The sequence below is a fragment of the Homo sapiens genome, chromosome 19, assembly GCF_000001405.40.
Source record: "Homo sapiens chromosome 19, GRCh38.p14 Primary Assembly".
Classification (NCBI taxonomy): domain Eukaryota; kingdom Metazoa; phylum Chordata; class Mammalia; order Primates; family Hominidae; genus Homo; species Homo sapiens.
In genome coordinates this window covers 566,189-585,362 of record NC_000019.10, presented here as the reverse complement: position 1 = coordinate 585,362, position 19,174 = coordinate 566,189, and the positions used below count along the sequence as shown (strand labels likewise).

General features: G+C 60.4%; 1 protein-coding gene and 1 long non-coding RNA gene across 7 annotated transcripts, besides 7 other annotated features; one reads left to right on the top strand and one right to left on the bottom strand.

Annotated features, from left to right (window-relative positions):
* Nucleotides 620-889: a silencer, noted in NCBI's record as "silent region_9608". NCBI's record gives its function as "represses an Ori minimal core promoter by ATAC-STARR-seq in GM12878 lymphoblastoid cells {active_cell/tissue: GM12878}" and the evidence as "EXISTENCE:reporter gene assay evidence [ECO:0000049][PMID:35858748]".
* Nucleotides 862-1,423: an enhancer, noted in NCBI's record as "H3K27ac-H3K4me1 hESC enhancer chr19:583940-584501 (GRCh37/hg19 assembly coordinates)". NCBI's record gives its function as "activates a minimal SCP1, AML or CMV promoter by ChIP-STARR-seq in naive H9 embryonic stem cells {active_cell/tissue: H9 hESC(naive)}" and the evidence as "EXISTENCE:reporter gene assay evidence [ECO:0000049][PMID:30033119]".
* Nucleotides 1,424-1,986: an enhancer, noted in NCBI's record as "H3K27ac-H3K4me1 hESC enhancer chr19:583377-583939 (GRCh37/hg19 assembly coordinates)". NCBI's record gives its function as "activates a minimal SCP1, AML or CMV promoter by ChIP-STARR-seq in naive H9 embryonic stem cells {active_cell/tissue: H9 hESC(naive)}" and the evidence as "EXISTENCE:reporter gene assay evidence [ECO:0000049][PMID:30033119]".
* Nucleotides 1,870-14,080, bottom strand: BSG (basigin (Ok blood group)). Of its 5 annotated transcripts, NM_001728.4 has the most exons (9): nucleotides 12,662-12,767; nucleotides 7,242-7,589; nucleotides 5,707-5,863; nucleotides 4,902-4,984; nucleotides 4,581-4,717; nucleotides 3,772-4,048; nucleotides 3,033-3,057; nucleotides 2,781-2,849; nucleotides 1,870-2,613 (listed from the first exon to the last, which is right to left on the bottom strand). In NM_001728.4, the coding sequence occupies exons 1-8, from the start codon at nucleotides 12,726-12,728 to the stop codon at nucleotides 2,786-2,788; spliced, it is 1,158 nt and encodes a 385-aa protein (NP_001719.2). In that variant the 5' UTR covers nucleotides 12,729-12,767; the 3' UTR covers nucleotides 1,870-2,613; nucleotides 2,781-2,785. The 5 variants fall into 5 exon arrangements, with proteins under 5 accessions (NP_001719.2, NP_940992.1, NP_940991.1 ...); NM_198590.3 differs by lacking the exons at nucleotides 7,242-7,589; nucleotides 12,662-12,767 and adding an exon at nucleotides 13,784-14,080; NM_198589.3 differs by lacking the exon at nucleotides 7,242-7,589.
* Nucleotides 12,427-12,606: a silencer, noted in NCBI's record as "silent region_9607". NCBI's record gives its function as "represses an Ori minimal core promoter by ATAC-STARR-seq in GM12878 lymphoblastoid cells {active_cell/tissue: GM12878}" and the evidence as "EXISTENCE:reporter gene assay evidence [ECO:0000049][PMID:35858748]".
* Nucleotides 12,777-12,996: a silencer, noted in NCBI's record as "silent region_9606". NCBI's record gives its function as "represses an Ori minimal core promoter by ATAC-STARR-seq in GM12878 lymphoblastoid cells {active_cell/tissue: GM12878}" and the evidence as "EXISTENCE:reporter gene assay evidence [ECO:0000049][PMID:35858748]".
* On the top strand, nucleotides 13,115-18,829 carry BSG-AS1 (BSG antisense RNA 1). Of its 2 annotated transcripts, none has more exons than NR_184018.1 (3): nucleotides 13,115-13,254; nucleotides 13,767-13,923; nucleotides 17,739-18,829. It is a non-coding gene; the product is annotated as a BSG antisense RNA 1 (long non-coding RNA). The 2 variants fall into 2 exon arrangements; NR_184019.1 differs by lacking the exon at nucleotides 13,115-13,254 and adding an exon at nucleotides 13,609-13,666.
* Nucleotides 13,817-13,866: an enhancer, noted in NCBI's record as "active region_13564". NCBI's record gives its function as "activates an Ori minimal core promoter by ATAC-STARR-seq in GM12878 lymphoblastoid cells {active_cell/tissue: GM12878}" and the evidence as "EXISTENCE:reporter gene assay evidence [ECO:0000049][PMID:35858748]".
* Nucleotides 13,947-14,519: an enhancer, noted in NCBI's record as "H3K4me1 hESC enhancer chr19:570844-571416 (GRCh37/hg19 assembly coordinates)". NCBI's record gives its function as "activates a minimal SCP1, AML or CMV promoter by ChIP-STARR-seq in primed H9 embryonic stem cells {active_cell/tissue: H9 hESC(primed)}" and the evidence as "EXISTENCE:reporter gene assay evidence [ECO:0000049][PMID:30033119]".

Here is a 19,174-nt window from a genome sequence, read left to right as displayed (position 1 = left end):
CACCTCCGCACCCCTCCGCGCCGGGCACCCACCGACGGGGTGGACATCCACCTCCGCACCCCACGCTGGACACCCAGTGACGGGGCGGACACCCACCACTGCGTACCCCAGTGCTTATTAGATGCTTGTTGGATGAACGAGGACACTAAATGCTGAGGGCAGGTGTACAAAGCTACATGCTGAGTGGTTATACTTTTGTGAATCAGGTTTACGTTTCTGTGTGCAAAGAAAAAAGATGAAGTTAGTGCCCAGGGGTGAGGGGCTGCTTTCTCGGGCGGACGACCCTGCACGGACCCAGGCGCCCCATCTGCCGGTAAGCACCCCAGGAAACCTGCCCGTCTCCCAAGGCTGCCCTGACCTGTAACTCCCACACCTCCCACCCGGTACAGAGCATGAGGCGTCCACAAGCACGGTGGGCCCACACCTGGGGCTGAGGGTGCGGCAGAAAGATGGACAGAGCCCAGGCAGGGAGGTGGGGGGAGACCTGAGCCAGGGGCCCACCTGGGCCGCGTGCCCGGCGATGTCCCCAACGCGCCCCTTCCCCATCGTCCTGTTGGCAGCCTCCATCCCACTGGACCTTTCTGCCTGTTGTCCACGCACACCCTCCAGCTCCAGGTATACCACAGGCGCCTAATCAATGTCTGCACGCAGACGTGGCATCCCTATTCACAGGTCACTGAGCACACTTTCAGTGGGTGATGCCTGGGACTCTGCGGTCTCAGCCGAGGAGGAGGGGCCGTCAGGCTGCCCGGGCAGAGGGGCTCCAGGGCCTGCCCCACTCAGCGTGGGCGTGCAGCGCCGCCTGGTGGCAGCCGGCAGGGAGGGCCCAGCTGTGGAACCCAGCAGCCCCCACCTAGCAGGGCAGTTGCTGCCAGGGACCCTGAGCCAGCCTCAGATCCTCCAAGGCTGTGCAGCACGAGGACCAGTGGGCAGCTCCGGATGTGGGCCCTGCAAGTCCACCGCTGGCCCAGCAGGATCAGTGCCGGGAGCAGCTGCCGCCCGGGGCCCGTCACCGTGTTTATTCAACTCCCCCTTTGCGTAGCCCTGTGAGGCCGGAGGCCGTGAGCCCTTTCTTGGCTTCCGTGGCATGAAAACGCTGGATTTGCCCAACACGGAAACACACTGCCTTCCCATCTTCCCATCTGATTCCTAGCTTCTCTGGGAACCCACCCAGGCTCCCTAAGCCCCCACTAAGCCTCTTTTGCTGACCTCCACCCTGAGACCCCCGCTCAGACCAGCAGAAGGCCCAGTGCCACACTCGGCCTGCAGGGCTGACACAGCCGCTGCAAACCTCCCTCCAGACCCAGTTACTGGTCCTGCAACTTGCAACCTCCACGCTCTAAGCTCCTGGTCCCCCAAGCTCTCCAGCCCTGCAACCACATCTGTTCCGTGTGCTGGGCGGGCAGGGGCTGGGCATCCCTCAGCCTCTGGGCACCAGCTTCACACACCCACTCTCCAGGAGCAGCCAGGACCACCCCTGAACCTTGCCCAAGCAGCCCGCCCAGGTGGGTGGGTGCAGGCAGCTGCAGGGCAGGCAGCAGAAAGCCTCAGCCTTTGTCAGGCCCAAAACATGCCGAGAGGAGTAACAGGCTCAGAGAAGGCTCAGGTCAGTGCCCACTCTCTTCTGTGTGGCTCTGAGGCACGGGGTCGGCCCCAGCCACCTTCCAAGTTCCCAGTCCGGCTGACAGCCTCAGGCCCTGTCCAGCCCATGCCCCGAGCCACCCAACACCCACTGCGGTCTCAGCAGACCCGTCCTCGCATGTGAAATCCCAGTACTGGACGCACCCCTGCTGTGACCACCAGAGCCCAGGGTGCACCTGCTCTCGGAAAACCCAACCCCGTCAGGCACAGACAGGAGCCAGGAGAGGGTGAGGGTGGAGGTGGGGGCGATCTTTATTGTGGCGGTGGGTGGGAGGGGGGTTCCCACGTGAGCCCTGGTGCTATAGAGAGCCGGCCGTCCTCCAGGGGTGAGCTGGGGAGGCTTCTGCGGTTCTGGAGTCCCGGCGATGGCGCCAGTTCCCCAGCAAACCCCCTCCAGAGCTGCCCCCGGATGCACAGACAAGGAGGGGGCTTGGGAGTGACTTGAGGCTGTGACGGGGTCGCCCTCGGTGTGGGCAAGTGAGTCCTCTGTGGCCAAGAGGTCAGAGTCGTCCCTGAGGCTGAGTCGAACACAGACCCGTGGCCCTCATAAAATTAAACATAAAAGCACAAAAATGGCGCAACCAGACAGCATTGGCTTCAGACAGGCAGGACACGGGGCCCCTCGTGTGACCTGTGACTTTCCACAAAGGGCAAGGACCTGGCACTGACTCCGGCCAGTGGAGAAGGCTGTGCCGCCCACCCGGCCATGACTCAGACCCAGAGGCTGAAAGCCACAGACGGGGCCGCAGGGCAGCAGCTCCCGGGCTCTCGTGAAACACTTCAGAAGGAAAAAAACCTAAGGAACAGAATCCTGAATGGAGAAAACCCAACTTTTTTAAAAAAGAAGGAAGTGTATGATGGGAATCTACGGGGTGGGTTTTCTTTAAGAGGTGAGAACTTGGAATCTTGCAAGCACTGGGAGTGGACTCCGGCGGCGGCGCAGACGTGGAGCAGGGAGCGTCCTCGGGCCACCTGTGGACAGGGAGGGGCGCTCAGACTGGACCCACCTCCCAGCGACCCACAGGCGGGACCCAGGAGCCCACACCTGGCTAGCAGATCCCGCCCACCACACCTGGCTCAGGAGTTCCCGCCCACCCACCCACCACACCTGGCTCAGGAGGAGCTCCCGCCCACCGCACCTGCCTCAGGAAGAGTTCCTCTGGCGGACGTTCTTGCCTTTGTCATTCTGGTGCTGCCCGCTGCTCTTCCTGGGGCACGAGGGGCCGGGTGAGAGGGTGTCCCCCGCAAGTCACTCTCTCCAAGTCACCCCTGCCCACCCCGGCCCCCAGGACCCCCGAATACTGAAGCCCAGGGGCTCTGCCTTTGTGTTTTAAAGGCCTGGGGCAGCAGGCCGCTCCTTGGGACCCCCGACCCCCACAGCTGGAACTTACAGGGGTGCAGAGCCGGCGTCGTCATCTGAAGAAGGACCGCCGCCATGAAAAAGAGGACGAGAGGACAGCCTGTCAGCACTGGCCCCACTCAGGCCCCGAGCAGGGGCATCTGTGCTGCCAGCCCTGCCCTCAGTGACCCCCAGGGGTGGCTCGGGGCAGCTCATCAGCCCCGGCCACGTGCATCTTCTGAGTGCTGTGGGGAAAGGCAGCCCTCCCCACCTGCAGGTGTGCTCCCCATGGTGAGCTGTCCCCATGGCCTCGTGGGCCTCACCCCTGCCCCACAGCGTTTTCCAGGAGCTGCCATCACAGGCCCCACACAGGCCTCGCCCCGGCACACGCAGCCCAAGGGGCAGAAGGGCTCCGCGAGGAGGCAGGCAGGGGCTGCCGGAGCACAGCATGGCTGACCTCAGGTTCCCGAGCCTGATCATGCAGAGCAGCAAGGGCCGGCTCACCACGGAGGACACTGGCTTGCAGCCAAGTGAGCGGGAGGGAAGGGCCGGGTGAGGCTGTGGGGCGGAGGTGCCGCCTCCTCCTCCCGGGGTCCCGCTGCCCACTGAGCCGCAGCTGCCCGGGGCTAGACCCTCCATCCCACACTTTCTTTCGGGGTCCCATCAACTCCCTGCCTGGGGCTCCTCAGTTCCAAGCTCTGGGTCAGCGGTGGGGCTGGCAGGGACGGACCAGGAGTGGCCCTGGGCCACCCCGAGAGCAGGGCATGTGGGCAGGAGGGCAGACGGCTCACCATCCAGGACGTCCTCGGGCTTCCGGCGCTTCTCGTAGATGAAGATGATGGTGACCAGCACCAGCACCTCAGCCACGATGCCCAGGAAGGGCCAGAGGGCGGCCAGGTGGCTGCGCACGCGGAGCGTGATGATGGCCTGGTCGGAGCCCTTGGAGCTGGTGCCGTTGCACCGGTACTGGCCGGGGTCGGCCTCCATGTTCAGGTTCTCAATGTGTAGCTCTGACCGGCCCTGCGAGGAACTCACGAAGAACCTGCTCTCGGAGCCGTTCATGAGGGCCTAGGGGACCAAAGGCAAGGGCTGAGTCCAGGACCCCCAGTCTAGGCCCCTCACCCAGTCCTGAGGGCTGAGTCCGGGACCCCCAGTCTAGGCCCCTCACCCAGTCCGGAGGGCTGAGTCCGGGACCCCCAGTCTAGGCCCCTCACCCAGTCCGGAGGGCTGGGTCCGGGACCCCCAGTCTAGGCCCCTCACCCAGTCCTGAGGGCTGGGTCCGGGACCCCCAGTCTAGGCCCCTCACCCAGTCTGGAGGGCTGCAGTCCAGAGGGCTGGGTCCGGGACCCCCAGTCTAGGCCCCTCACCCAGTCCGGAGGGCTGGGTCCGGGACCCCCAGTCTAGGCCCCTCACCCAGTCCGGAGGGCTGGGTCCGGGACCCCCAGTCTAGGCCCCTCACCCAGTCCTGAGGGCTGGGTCCGGGACCCCCAGTCTAGGCCCCTCACCCAGTCCTGAGGGCTGGGTCCGGGACCCCCAGTCTAGGCCTCTCACCCAGTCCTGAGGGCTGGGTCCAGGACCCCCAGCCTCCTTGGCTTCTCACCTTGTCCTCAGAGTCAGTGATCTTGTACCAGGCCCAGTCAGTGACAGGTGGCACGGACTCTGACTTGCAGACCAGCATGGCCGTCTCCCCCTCGTTGATGTGTTCTGACGACTTCACAGCCTTCACTCTGGGAGGCCCTGACAGGAGGGTGAGAGAGAGGAGCCTGGAACCGCAGGCCCGCCCCCATCCCCGGCCTCCCGCAGGAGGGCTGTTCCCCTCCAGGGAGCAGGGGGCCAGGGCTCTGGGATGTGCCGGGTGCCTCAGGCCAACAACTTCTCCCGACAGTCGGTGGTGCCCGGTACCCCTGGCTGCAGGACTCACCGTGGAGCTGGATGTTGGCCGTGCCCATGGGCTCGGGGAGGAAGACGCAGGAGTACTCTCCCCACTGGTCGTCGGAGTCCACCCTGCAACCACAGCAGGCAGGTGAGCCGCGTACCAGCTCTGCAGGACGCCTCCAAGGACCCAGGGTTCTCCAGGGGCCCAACCACGGCACAGTGAAAAAGCAAAACTGTCCCAGTCAAGTCTGAACCTCAAAAGAACTCCTGGGGTCCCCGTGCGGCCCCAAGGACAGAGCCAGGCTGGCAAGACCCCACAGGTGAGAGAACCAACAGACCCCCTTCTCCCCGACTGATGAACCCCACACCTCTGGTCCCTGCTCTGCACCCCACACCCTGTGACCGTCTTCCCAGTCAGCCTGAAAACAAAAGGCTCTGTGCTCCCAGGGCCGTCCCAGCCCCAGTTATGACAAAGCTCCGGCCATGACAGCGTCTGGGGTCCGAGCAGGGCATGCCTCAGTGTGGTGCCCTCTTGTGCCAGGAGCACAGAGCCTGGGAGGCCCGCACACGTGCCCGGGACCTGGCAGTGTGGCGCCCTTTCGTGCCCGGGACCTAGTGAGGAGCAAGCAATGGGGACTCCTGCCAGGGCTGCTGGAGCCCCCTGCCTCACAAGGACGCCCCTCAGACCCCTCCCTGGGGTTTCCCTCTGGGGGTCTGCGCGGAGCTGGTCCCTAACTTCCGCCTGGATCAAGCCTGCCGACCGGTCTTTTGTTCTCACGGACCACAGGCCGCTGGCGGCAAGAGAGCCGTGAGAAGGGGCAGGTGGCGGCATGGCGTGGTCAGGCACTCACTTGAACTCCGTTTTCTGGCCGGGCAGCGCGTCCTCCTTCAGCACCACGCCCCCCTTCAGCCAGCGGTGCCCTGTGACCTCTGTGGCGCTGTCATTCAAGGAGCAGGTGAGGAGTATCTTGGAGCCAAGGTCTTCTACGGTAGTGAAGACTGTGCCGGCTGCAAGGCCCGGCGAGACGCGGTCAGCAGAGTGGAGGAGCACGGCCCGCGCTGCCTGCCTGACCCCCAGGAACCTGCGGCTCCTCCCCGGGAAGGACTGGTTTTCATCCCAAAAATACACCGTGGCCCTTACGCCCCGAGGACCGGAGGCCCAAGGGGAACTTCTGGCCACGCCTCCGGGAAGGGAAGAGCCCAGCGCCTGCTGAGGAGGCCCCTTCGGGAAGGCACCCCCTTCGGGAAGGCACCCTTCGCTGGCAGCTGGCGGGCCCTGGGCTAAGGCGCTGGGAACCCAGAGGCCCCGCCTGGCGATGTTCCTGCCCAGAGACACACGAGGCTGGGACCAGGGTGTGGGGACAGACAAGGCACCCACCCACGTCCCTGAGCAGGGACCAGGGCATCGAGCTCTTGTAGCAGCCCCAGCACAAACTGGAAATTCTTTTCTAAAAACGTAGCCAGCTGGGCGCGGTGGTGGCCGGGCGCGGAGGCTCACGCCTGTAATCCCAGCACTTTGGGAGGCCAAGGCGGGTGGATCTCGAGGTCGGGAGATCGAGACCATCCTGGCTAACACGGTGAAACCCCGTCTCTTCTAAAAATACAAAAAATTAGCTGGGCATGTTGGCTCATGCCTGTAATCCCAGCTACTCAGGAGGCTGAGGCAGAAGAATCGCTTGAACCCGGGAGGCGGAAGTTGCAGTGAGCCGAGATTGTGCCACCACACTCCACCTGGGAACAGCAAGACTCCATCTCCAGGAAAAAAAAAAAAAATAGCCACAGCACCCCCGGCCAAGGCTCCCGTGCCCTTCTCTAGGAGGCACTCAGGTGGCCCCACATCCCCCCAGCCCCAGGCTGACGGCACTCCAGCAGTGCTGGGAGCACCCCGGTTCTTCTGCCAATCCCCAACCAAGCAAATCTCTTGGTTCTTGGTTAGTTTACAATATTCCCGCTAGGAATTGAAATTTGAAAATCCCTTAGAACGAGATGCTGCGAAGGACACAGAAGGTTCTGAGACCTGCAAGCCTGGGCTGAGCTTGGAGGGCCCCTCAGGCTTGCAGTATGGACGCTCAGGGAGGGAGCCGGGCAGGCGCCCGGGGAAGCAGAAACGACGGAACGGATGGCACGAGGGTCGAGGGGAGGACGAGGACCCACCTGCTGGAGGGCAGAGCCCTGCCTGCCCCGAGCCAGGCCGCCCAGCGCTGGTGGTCAGGCGGCGAGCCCACCCCCTTCAGGTCCGGGCCCCTCCGTCCAGGCGGTGGGCCCAACGGGGCACAGCGGGACGGAGAGGGGAGGAGGCGTCTGGGTTCTACTGAGCAGGAGCCGGGAGGCGAGCGGCACAGGAGGGAAACTGAGGGAGGCGGGGAGGGAGGTGCCCGCCACTCACGTTCCAGGACTAGCACGACTGCCTGGGCGCGGACCCACTTGACCCTGGGCGCCCGGGTCAGGTGGTTGCGATCCGGGTCGTTGCTGGCCCGGCACTCGTAAGTGCCCGTGTCCTCCTCCACGAGCGTGTCGATGGAGATGGTGCTGGCCGCGTGCTGGTGGTAGGTGGCGTGGATGTGGACGCGGTCCAGCCGGGCGCCGTCCCAGAGCTGGGAGCAGGTGTCGTTGGGACCCTGCCCTTCAAACCACCACTGGATCTCGGGCACCGGGCTGCCCACGGCCTCGCAGTGCAGCTCCACACTGCCCCCCACCCACCTCTGCTGGGACAGCGGCGCCTGGACGAAGCCGGCTGTGGGGAGAGCACGCGTGGGGTCTTGTTAGTGCCTGGGGCACTTGGGAGGGCAGCTCCTGGGGAAGGCCTCGCCCACAGGACTCCCAGCCAGGGCTGGTGGAGAAGCCACTTCCTTTCAGCTTGTGGGAGAGTGATGGGGCCCGGCTGGAAACAGCATGGCATGGGAAAGACCGTGGGCGTCCCGTCCACTGCTACCTCACGGCAGCCACGGCGGCTTCTGAGGGCACAACTGTGGGACCACACGTGGTTTCAAAACACAAAACACATGAAACTGGGCAGAAGAGCCAGGAGTCCTGAGCCCCGAGGGCTGCCCAGAGCTCAGGTCCCAAGCGCACCGTCCTCTGACTTCTGCCCGATACCCTGACCCCAGAGACCCGGGTGAGCTGCTGAGAAAAACAAACCCCAAAGCCCAAAGGGGCAGGCGGCCTCTGTCCAGAAGCCCCTAGCCCGGCTCCGTTAGGACAGCCCGTGGGTGGAAAGCTCGTGTCCTCAGCAATCTCTGAGGGCGGCGACCCAGAGAGAGGCGGATTTGGGAAGCTGGGAGCCAGGCAGGGCCTCAGGGCCTCTCACCTCCAGCCACACGCCTCCCCTTCCTTCGAAATGCAAGGGAAGGCCCCCAGAGCTGCCAAGGAGCACAGCAGAATCCACACAGAACCTCACACTGTGCCTAGCACTCGCCTGCCAGGAACAGCCCAGCCCAAGGGGAAGCGTGGGGAGTGCCTCCTCCCGCCAGGACCTTGCAGCCCTCCCCACAGCACCTTCTGAGGTCAGACTCCCCAGGCACCGCTACAACACACACACACACACAAGGACACACGTCTGCAAACACACACAACACATACACACGTGCATATGCGTGCACACGGCTCCGAGGCTGCGTGGCAGTGCACAGGTCACGGCCCCCAAGGCCACGGGGACAGGAATGTTCACGTCTGAGCACCTCAGGTGAGCTCTGGGCAGGCGCAGTTGACAAGTTTTGGCAGCGCCATTTTCTTTCTCCTCTTCTTCTTTTTTTTTTTTTTGAGACAGAGTCTCACTCTGTTCAGCAGTGGTGTAATCTCAGCTCACCGCAACCTCTGCCTCCCGGGTTCAAGCAATTCTCCTGCCTCAGCCTCCCAAGTAGCTGGGATTACAGGTGCCTGCCACCACACTCAGCTAATATTTTGTATTTTTAGTAGAGACGGGGTTTCACCATTTTGGCCAGGCTGGTATTGAACCCCTGACCTCGTGATCCACCCTCTTGGGCCTCCCAAAGTGCTGGGATTACAGGCGTGAGCCACCGCGCCTGGCTGGCAGTGCCATTTTCACAAAGGGATCTCCTCCTGGTAACCTACATTTCTTGGGAGTTAAGATTTCCCAGACTGCAACACTGGCAGCTATGTGCAGAGCTGGGCGAGGTGAGTCAGGGCAGGAAGCACAGCCAGAGGCTGCCCAGCTGGCAAGCTCCTTCCTGCCCTGCAGCAGCCCCTCTCCTCATCCTCCAGACCTGCAGGGCTGGGCTCCACATCCTCCTCACCCAGGGGTGCTAGGAGAGGGCTGGCCCCTGACTCACCTCACCCCACCTCCAGGCAGGGCAGGGCACACAGGAAAGTGAGGAGGACCAGGTGGGGCCCGCAGCCGAGCTGCCCCCAGCCACCTTTCCAGGAGTCCCGGGCTCCCAGGCGCCATCTGCACCGGTCCCGGTGCTCCCGCTGGGTCCGCCAGCTTCTCAGCGGGCAGCATCGCTCCCAAAGGGACCAAAAGGCTTTGGATGGAACAACCCTGTGTCCCTCCGGATGCTGATGATGCTGGTGTCTGTGTATTGACGTGTCACTGGGGGTGGGGGGGCGTCCGGAAGAGAAAGCCTCCATAGAGGCTCCTCGGGGACAATGCAGAGCGCCCCCACCCCACGGACCACCCCATCTCGCCCGCCGCACCAGGAGCCTCCACCCATGAGCAGCAGGAGGAGGGACGGCGCCTGACCCTCGGCCACAGCCCCAGAAAGGTTAGAATTCGATTCTGGCCACATGAGACGTAACCCATGTTCTCAAGTAAAGTCACCTTCATCTAAAAACAGCCTCCGCCTCCTTGCCCAGGGCTCAGGGCCAGGCAGGCCGCGTGGTACTTGTACACAAGCAGCCCCGCAGGATAAGGCTGCCCGCCCCCACCCGCCCTCCTCCCCACCCACCCCAGTGCTCAGACAGCAGCCAGCGAGAACAGCTCTGGGAAGCAGCCTCGGGCACCTCCCCCACCCACCCCCACCGGCCGCAGCCAGGCACTCCCACTCCTCTCATCTGAGGCTCGGGGGTGAAGCCCTCCACCCTCGGGACCCAGCTAGCACACCCCGGCCCTCCGGTCCCCGACAAGCCCACAGGAGACGCGGACGGCCAACCTTGGGCACTCACCCCACCCGGCTGTGCCCCACCAACCCGCAGACGCCCCTGAAGCAAGTTTCAGGAGAGGCAAACACAGTCACGAATTCACAGAGCAAACAGCAGTGTCCACCCCACACGGGCCAAGGCTGTGTTGCCCAGACCTTGTGGTCTTCACGAGTCAGTCCCCAGCAAAAGTGGGGTTTCTCACCACACACACACACGCGCACACACGGCTACACCGCTGCACGGCGGCGCTGCCAGCACTGCAGACTCCACCTGCTTCCCAGGCTGCAGGCAGCTCTGGCCAGTAAGCCCCAGGCTAAGCTTTCTGCTCAGAAGAAACCCTTCTCAGTCTCCTGCACAAATGCACAAAAGGAACAAAACTGTGAACCACCCTACCCAGCAGGGAGAGACCAAAGGTCTTTCACCCACTTGGCTGTCCAAATTAGCTCAATGTGGGAACCTCGTGCTGTGCTTGAAACCCAGTCAGGCCTGGCTGGGTTTCCACAGGGCTGGCGGGGGCGGCTTATCTTCCGCGCTCACCTCACCCATGGGCTCCTATCTGTGTCTCCCCAGAGAGCTGGCCGCAGTGCTGGGGCCAGGCCCTTGCCCAGGAGACATTCGATAAAGGGCCACTTTGGTTACCAGGAAGACGAAATCTCAGACGTAGGTCAGGAGTTAGCTGGCAAAGCCTCTGGAAGAAGGAGCCCCCTCCCCAGCCTCTGCCCAAGGCCCCCTACGGCTCAATGCCCAGGACAGAGGCTCGAAGCCCTTGCTCTTGACCCTTCAGGAGGCCAGACCCTCCAGCTCTGCACCTTGTTCCCAACACATCGGTCACAATAAATTTTTTTTTTGTTTTTTTTTGAGACGGGGTCTCGCTCTGTCGCCCAGGCTGGAGTGCAATGGCGCGATCTCGGCTCACTGCAAGCTCCGCCTCCCTGGTTCACACCATTCTCCTGCCTCAGACTCCCTAGCAGCTGGGACTACAGGCGCCCGCCACCACGCCAGGCTAATTTTTTGTATTTTTAGTAGAGACGGGGTTTCACCGTGTTAGCCACGATGGTCTTGATCTCTTGACCTCGTGATCCGCCCGCCTCGGCCTCCCAAAGTGCTGGGATTACAGGCGTGAGCCACCATGCCCGACCTCTTTTTTTTTTTTTTTTAAAGACAGAGTCTCCCTGTTACCCAGGCTGGAGTGCAGTGGCATGATATCAGCTCACTGCAACCTTCACCTCCCAGGTTCAAGCGATTCTCTTGCCTCAGCTTCCTGAGTGGCTGGGATTACAGGCGTGCGCCAACACGCCCAGCTAATTTTTGTATTTTTAGTAGAGATGGGGTTTCACCATGTTGGCCAGGCTGGTCTTGAACTCCTGACCTCAGGTGATCCACCCGCCTCAGCCTCCCAAAGTGCTGGGATTACAGGTGTGAGCCACCACGCCCGGCCTCACTATAAATCTTTAACCCAGAACCAAATGGGGGTCTCAACAAAGGAAGAAATTTTCTATGAAGCAAGAAAGGATGTCATGCTTTTCTCCCGGAAAAACACACCTCAATCCATTTCCCAAATGCGCTCTCCAAACCACGTTTGCCCACCCTCAACACACGGCCCTCCTAAGACAGCACTGGAAACCGAATGCGGGTCAGAGTCGGCTAAAAACGACTTTCTCACTATTTCCTGCGCTGAATCGGGTGGCCAGGGCCCCCTCACTGTGACCTTGGAACCTCGACTTCCCACAGGGCTGTTTCCTCGCCTGTAAAGGAGGAGGGGCGTTCAGAGACCACCTCATTCTGGGTGCTGAATCCAGGCAGAATCAGAGGGAGATTCCGCCTTCCCTTCCACGCAGGGCCCCTCGAGGGAGCCTGCGAGGTCTTAAGAGTCTGGGAGAACACCCGGGGGCAGGTGCACGCCCTAGGCAAGACGCCAGGGCTAAATCCCGTGAAGAACGGTAATCCCTTCCCGATCCGGAGGGCTGACCCACTCAGAGCCTCCATGTGCTCTTGGAGGACAAAAGCCCCTTTTCCAGAAGGGAGCGCCAAGATGATCGCTCCAGGCCGCACGGGCCCTTGCGGGGGCCCCAGAGAGTCTCAGGGGAGGGTCTCTGACCCTAACACTCGCAGGCAGGGTGGACCCGTCTCCAGATTCCACGCCCAGGCCGCTTTCCCCAGGTCCTGCGGAGTCCAGCCCCAGCAGGACGGGTTGGGCAGGCACCAACCAGCCCCTGACCCCTGGCTCCAGGCCAAAGGGGACGCTCACCCAGGCTTTGGGTCTCCCTTCTCCTGGCCGATGGGACCGGCGGGCGGGCCACCTCCAACCGCCTTCGCAGACGCCCTCACCCAGGAAGCAGGTCACCCCCAACCCCAGGTGACCGAAAAGCAAGACGCCCACCTCCCCTGACCAAGACCGGCCTGGCCAGGACCCCCTGGCTCCCGCCTCCAAGCAGGGAGCTTCACGCCCACACACAGAGGCCGGGCTCGAGGCCGGAGCGCCCGGGGGAGCCCGGCAGGCCGCGCCGGGAGGAACCTCTAGTCCCCCCTCAAACCCTGGGACTTCACCCCCAAGCTCCATGCTGGCGCGGGAAGCCCCCGGGGCCGGCCTTTCGCACCCCAGGCCGCCCCGCGCCGAGGCCCCAGGCTCCCGTCGGCTTCGGGTCGGCACCGCGGCCTCCATTCCCGGCCCCTGCAGGACCGCACCCCCGCCCCCTACCCGCTCCTCACCAGCCCCGGAGGCTCCGTGGGTGCCCAGCAGCGCGAATCCCAGCAGCACGAACAGCGCAGCCGCCATGATTCCTATTCCTCGCCGGTCCTACAACCTCCAACCGCTGCCGCCGCCGCCCGCGGCCGCTATAAAAAGCGGCGGAGGCGCGGACCGGGCGCGCGCACGCACGGCGTCATCTCGGGGGCGGGGCGAGCGCCGGGGACGCCGGTCGCCCCGCCTGCGCACGCGCGCACACGCTCGCATGTACGCGCCGGCTCCGGCAGGCTCACGCTACGGAATCCGGGCGGCGGCGCACGTGACCCGGCGTTGCTAGGAAACGGGAGTGGGGCCTGCGGGGACGCGGCTGGAGCCTGCGCATTTCTTCCTTCCTGCTTTCAAAGTTGCAATGAGCGCAGAGCGGTGCGCCCGAGGGGGTTGAAGCGTTGAAAGTGTGTTACCCAGATTTTATCTGAGTTAAACACGGGCCGGCCGCTGTGGCTCACGTCTGTACTCCCAGAGCCTTGGGAGGTCGAGGCGGGAAGATCGCTTGAGCCCGGGAGCTCGAGACCAGACGCGGCAACATGGCGAGACGCACATCTCTGCCTTTAAAAATGTACATATATATATATATATATGAACGTATTAATAAATTAGGTGGGAGGAAGTGACCTCCTCCGCCCAAATAAAAATACTTAAAGGGCACTTGAATCTGGATCTCAGAAAATGAATAATTTCTTAGTATAAACGTCCTGTGCACCATTTGGTTGGGACAAGTAAGTTCCTCTTCAGAAACTCAACTTCCAGGTCTAAAGTTGTCAATCAACCTTACCCCCTTCTTCTTTCCTCGCAGGTGGCGCGTTTACCCTATTTTAAAAAAGTTTTAAGTTTTAGCCAACCGGGATCAGCTTAGATTGTGGGCGTCCAACCCCAGCCAACAGGGAAAGGACAGAGGAACAGAAGCTCCCTTCCTTTGTCCCGTGTGCTCTGGAGATTGCATCCCACGCAGGCAGCCCCCTTCCGTACAAGTAAAGTGGTCTCGCTGAGAAATTTTCTAAGTGCTGGTTTCTCTTTGCGGGACCGACTCGCCGCCCCCAAATATCCCATTTGGATCCCATTCTGTTTCAGGAGAGGCTGGCGGTTACCTTTCTTGGGGAGACGCGTCCGACTGCTTCATTGTGGGGGCCTCAGGAGCGGAGGATCGGGTCCCGCCCGAGGTGACGCGTAAACCCAGACTCTCAGCAACGCGGGTAGGAAGGACCCTTGAAGTTCCGCGGCGACCACGGTGAGAAAAGTCGCTATTGGGGCGACACAGGTGGGGGCGTCTCTTGGAGGTTGAAAGTGTGTGTTGGAAGTTAAACTCGGAGTCGCAATGCAAGAGGACCGCAGACTAAGCCGAACGCGAAGGGCTAACTGGAAAGGGGCAGGAATGTGGCTACACTGGCGGGAAGAGCCCGTGGCGACGGGAGGGGGATGTGCAGAGTGGGTGGCAGGTGCCATCTCTGCAGATCAGGACCGGCGGGAAACTTGTTTACTGAGACTCAGACGGGGAGGCCCAGAGGGTGAGGAAGTCAGGTTGGCCTTGGAAGTAGGAAACGAAGAACGAGGGCGCTGAACGAGCCAAACCTTTGAAGAGGAACTTGTGAATGAATGAGACGCGCCATATCTTTTGTGTGTGTGTGTGTTGGAGTCTCGCTGTGTCACCCAGGCTGGAGTGCAGCGGCGCGATCTCGACTCTCTGCAACCTCCGCCTCCCGGGTTCAAGCGATTCTCCTGCCTCAGCCTCCTGAGTAGCTGGGATTACAGGCGCGCACCACCACGCCCGGCTAATTTTTGTATTTTTAGCAGAGACGCCCCATATCTAAAGAAGGGTGGGATCCTCTAGACCACCTTCCCCCACTCACCCCTCCGCCCCTCCCAACCCACCCCCTCCGCCCCTCCCAACCCACCCCCTCCGCCCCTCCCAACCCACCCCCTCCGCCCCTCCCAACCCACCCCCTCCGCCCCTCCCAACCCACCCCTCCGCCCCCCCCACCCACCCACCCCACCCCTCCGCCCCTCCCCAACCCGCCCCTCCGCCCCTCCCACCCACCCCTCGCCCCTCCGCCCCTCCCCCACCCGCTCCTCCGCCCCTCCATCCCTCCCCTATAGAACCACCTGGACCTTGCCACCCACATCCCCGCTGGACAGCCACTAGAACATGCCCCTTCCTCAGGAAAGCTCCAACGGGAAACAGAACAATGCCAAAGGGATATTCGAAACTTTCGGCCGGGCGCGGTGGCTCACGCCTGTAATTCCAGCACTTTGGGAGGCAGAGGCGGGTGGATCACGAGGCCAGGAGTTCAGGACTGGCAGCCTGGCCACGATGATGAAACCTCGCCTCTACTAAAAATACGAAAATTAGCCGGACGTGGTGGCGGGCGCCTGTAATTCCAGCTACTCAGCTACTCGGGAGGCTGAGGCAGGGAATGTCTTGAACCCGGGAGGTGGAGCTTGCAGTGAGCCGAGATCGCGCCACCGCACTCCAGCCTCGGCAACAAGAGCGAGACTCCGTCTCAAAAAACAAACAAACAAACAAAAACCCACAGAACTTTCCTTTTGCCTCCTGCTCAAAAAGACCTGCCTCAGCCCTTTTCCCCTTTAGGGAAGGACCACCGGGAGGAAGGGATATTGACTTCGTAAATGCCCCCTTTAACCAGTTCAGAGGTTAGAAATCTAAAAGAACTCAAACCACTGTTAGATGACCCTTTTGGATTCGCGGATCAAATTGACCAATTTCTGGGGCCACAGCTGTACGCTTGGGCTGAATTAATGTCTACCCTCAGTACTCTCGTCTCAGGAGAGAGAGAACCATGATTCACAGGCCGCTGTGTTAGTCTGGGAGCGTGAACACCCCCCGGTCAGAACGTCCTTTCAGCGGAGCGTAAATTCCTGGCCCAAGATCCTGGGTGGGATGACAATGTGACCTAAAAAACATGAGCGATCTCGGAGATGGGATAATTACAAGGATTCGGGAATCAGATCTGCAAACCCAAAATACTTCCCGAGCATTTAACGTACAACAGAGGAAACATGAAGGGCCCATGGGGTTTTTTTTGGAGACAGAGTCTCGCTCTGTCGCCCAGGCTGGAGTTCAGTGGCGCGATCTCAGCTCACTCCAACCTCCGCCTCCCGGGTTCAAGCGATTCTCCTGCCTCAGCCTCCCAAGTAGCTGGGATTACAGGCGCCCGCCACCACGCCTGGCTAATTTTTTGTATTTTAGTGGAGACAGGGTTTCACCATGTTGGCCAAGATGGTCTCGATCTCCTGACCTTGTGATCTGCCCACGTCGGCCTCCCAAAGTGCTGGGATTACAGGCGTGAGCCACCGCGCCTGGCCAGGCCCGTGGAATTCTTAAACAGACTTAATAAACAGATAAGAAAATATGCAGCTGCCGGCTCACGCCTGTAATCCCAGCACTTTGGGAGGCTGAGGTGGGCGGATCATGAGGTCAGGAGATCCAGACCATCCTGGCTAACACGGTGAAACCCCATCTCTACTAAAATACAAAAAAATTAGCCGGGCGTGGTGGGGGCGCCTGTAGTCCCAGCTACTCGGGAGCCTGAGGCAGGAGAATGGCCTCAACCCAGGAGGCGGAGCTTGCAGTGAGCCGAGATCGCACCACTGCGCTCCAGCCTGGGCGACAGAGCGAGACTCCGTCTCAAAAAAAAAAGAAAGAAAGAAAAAAGAAAATTGGAAAGACCATCCCATAGAGGAACTTTTTTTTTCTTTTTTGAGATGGAGTCTCACTCTTTTGCCCAGGCTGGAGTGCAGTGGTGCGATCTCGGCTCACTGCAACCTCCACCTGCCAGGTTCAAGCGATTGTCCTGCCTCAGCCTCCTGAGTAGCTGGGACTACAGGCACGCGCCACCACGCCTGGCTAATTTTTGTACTTTTAGTAGAGACGGGGTTTCACCTTGTTGGCCAGGCTGGTCTTGAACTCCTGACCTCAAGTGATCCGCCTGCCTCCACCTCCCAAAGTGATGGGATTACAGGCATGAGCCACCACGCCCAGCCAAGAAAGAGAACTTTTAACTGCTGGGGGCAAAGAAATAAAATACAAAGAAGAAATTTTACAGCTCCTAGGCCGGGCGTGGTGGCTCAGGCCTGTAATCCCAGCACTTTGGGAGGCTAAGGCAGGCGGATCACCTGAGGTCAGGAGTTGGAGACCAGCCTGACCAACATGGAGAAACCCCATCTCTACTAAAAATACAGAATTAGCCGGGCGCGGTGGCAGGTGCCTATAATCCCAGCTACTAGGGAGGCTGAGGCAGGAGAATCGCTTGAACCTGGGAGGCGGAGGTTGCGGTGAGCCGAGATCGTGCCATTGCACTCCAGCCTGGGCAACAAGAGAGAAACTCCATATGAAAAAAAAAAAAAAAAAAAGAAATTTTACAGCTCCAGGATGCCGTGTGGGCCCCAAAGACGTAGCTGTTCTGCGTTGCAGGGTGCACAAAAGGCAGGAACACTGGAGGCCAAAGGAAACAAAGGCAGACGAGGAGGCAAAACGGGCAGTAATAAGGACACCACATTCTAAAGAGGAAGCCCTGGCTGTGCCTCTCCTCCCGGAGCCTCCCCTCCCAGAGGTCCCACGTTATTCTCCAAACAAAAAAGCTTAGTTTGCCCAAGAAACTGGAAAGTATATTGAAAGAAGATCGGCCGGGCGCAGTGACTCACGCCTGTAATCCCAGCACTTTGGGAGGCCGAGGCAGGCGGATCACCTGAGGTTGGGAGTTTGAGCAGCCTGACCAACATGAAGAAACCCTGTCTCTACTAAAAATACAAAATTAGCGGGGCGTGGTGGTGTGCCCCTGTCATCCCAGCTATTCAGGAGGCTGAGGCAGGAGAATCGCTTGAACTCGGGAGGCGGACGTTGCAGTGACCGGAGATCGCGCCACTGCACTCTAGCCTGGGGGACAAGAGTGATACTTCGTCTCAAAAAAAAAAAAAAAGAAATAGAATCCAACCACTTTGGGACCCAGATGGGATGGGCCTAGACTGCGATCCTGTCCACTCCCACTGCTGTTAATGTTTCAGGAACTGTGCCTTCGATCTCCACAGTCGGCTGAAACCAGCAGCCCAGGACAAGTGGACCAGCCAGCAAGACCCAGACCATCCAAACCGGCTGATCCTACGACAGGACCCAGATGCCAGTGAAAGTGACCACAGCCCTGCTCTAGTCACCCCGGAAGCTGACCAGTCTACGCACGGCCGAAGCTTCGTCAAGGAAGTAAATGTAGTTAGAAATCTTAAGCCCAGTAATTTTCCTTGTCATCTTAATTGTTTTACTATTAACCTGTCGCTTTGCTCAACCCCCTCCTCTGGGCAAACATCTCTTGTCCATCCTAGGTACAAACATGCTACTCTTCCCTTTGTTCTTGCTGCTCTCGCTAGATCTATGTCAGAAGGAGGGATATGCGGAGAGTTTAATTTAACTAATTGTTGCCTAAAAATCGATGACAATGAGGAGGACGTCATGAATTAATTGCGAGAATGCGAGACTTAGCTCATGTTCCAACACAAACCTGGAAACCGGAATGGTCTCCAGGTTCCCCCCGCCCCCCCGTGGTTGGTTTTCATCCCTCGGGGGATTTAAAACCTTACTAGGAGTAGTTCTGGCCATACTGGGAGTCCGCCTCGTACTCTTGTCTCTTCCCCTCCTTGTCAAGAATATCGACAAAGCCAGAGACGCTCGTGTGGACAGGCCGAGTACCACCGAGCTCATCCCATAACTACGTGTCCACCCCTGCCAGGAAAAGAGCTACTTCCCCCTGTAGAAGTAAATAAAAAATAGTGATGCTTTCTATTAAACCTTATTTATAAAAAGCATCAAGGAGGGAATAAAGCGGAAATTGAAGAAACGGAAAATACCTTTTTCGTATAAAGCTGACTCGCCCCAAAGCCAGCAACAGGCAAAGCCCCCAGGCAAGGCCTTGAAAACACCATTTAAAAAGCCAGAACCCCAAGGAATGCCGCCCAGACGCCTCCCAGCACTGCACTCCCCCCGTGCAAAGATAAGAACCAGACTCCTCCTTCCGTTTCCCGCTCCCCGTAAAATACTCTGCCAGTTTTGTAAGCTCCTGTTCTTTCTCAATGCGGCCGCAAGCTCACAAGCTCGGCTGAGGTTACGAAACCTGTCACTGTACGATTAACTGCCTCTGTCCTGCGTCTGTAAATTCACTTTCCCGCACTGCAAGTTTCACGCCGCTGCACGCTTCAAAGTCAAGCCCTTTGTTCCACGCTCAGTCTTTTTTTTTTTTTTTTTGAGACGGATTCTCACTCTGTCGCCCAGGCTGGAGTGCGGTGGCGCGATCTCGGCTCACTGCAAGCTCCGCCTCCCGGGTTCACGCCATTCTCCTGCCTCAGCCTCTCTGAGTAGCTGGGACTACAGGTGCCCACCACCACACCCGGCTAATTTTTTGTATTTTTAGTAGAGACAGGGTTTCACCGTGTTAGCCAGGACGGTCTCGATCTCCTGACCTCGTGATCCGCCCGCC

Excerpts from the sequence above, each read along its gene's own strand:
- BSG (NM_001728.4), bottom strand. The coding sequence starts at position 12,728 with ATGGCGGCTGCGCTGTTCGTGCTGCTGGGATTCGCGCTGCTGGGCACC. Across the intron at positions 4,718-4,901 it reads GGCCAACATCCAGCTCCACG|GGCCTCCCAGAGTGAAGGCT; the intron begins GTGAGTCCTGCA and ends CCCTCCTGTCAG. Across the intron at positions 4,049-4,580 it reads TCACTGACTCTGAGGACAAG|GCCCTCATGAACGGCTCCGA; the intron begins GTGAGAAGCCAA and ends TTGGTCCCCTAG.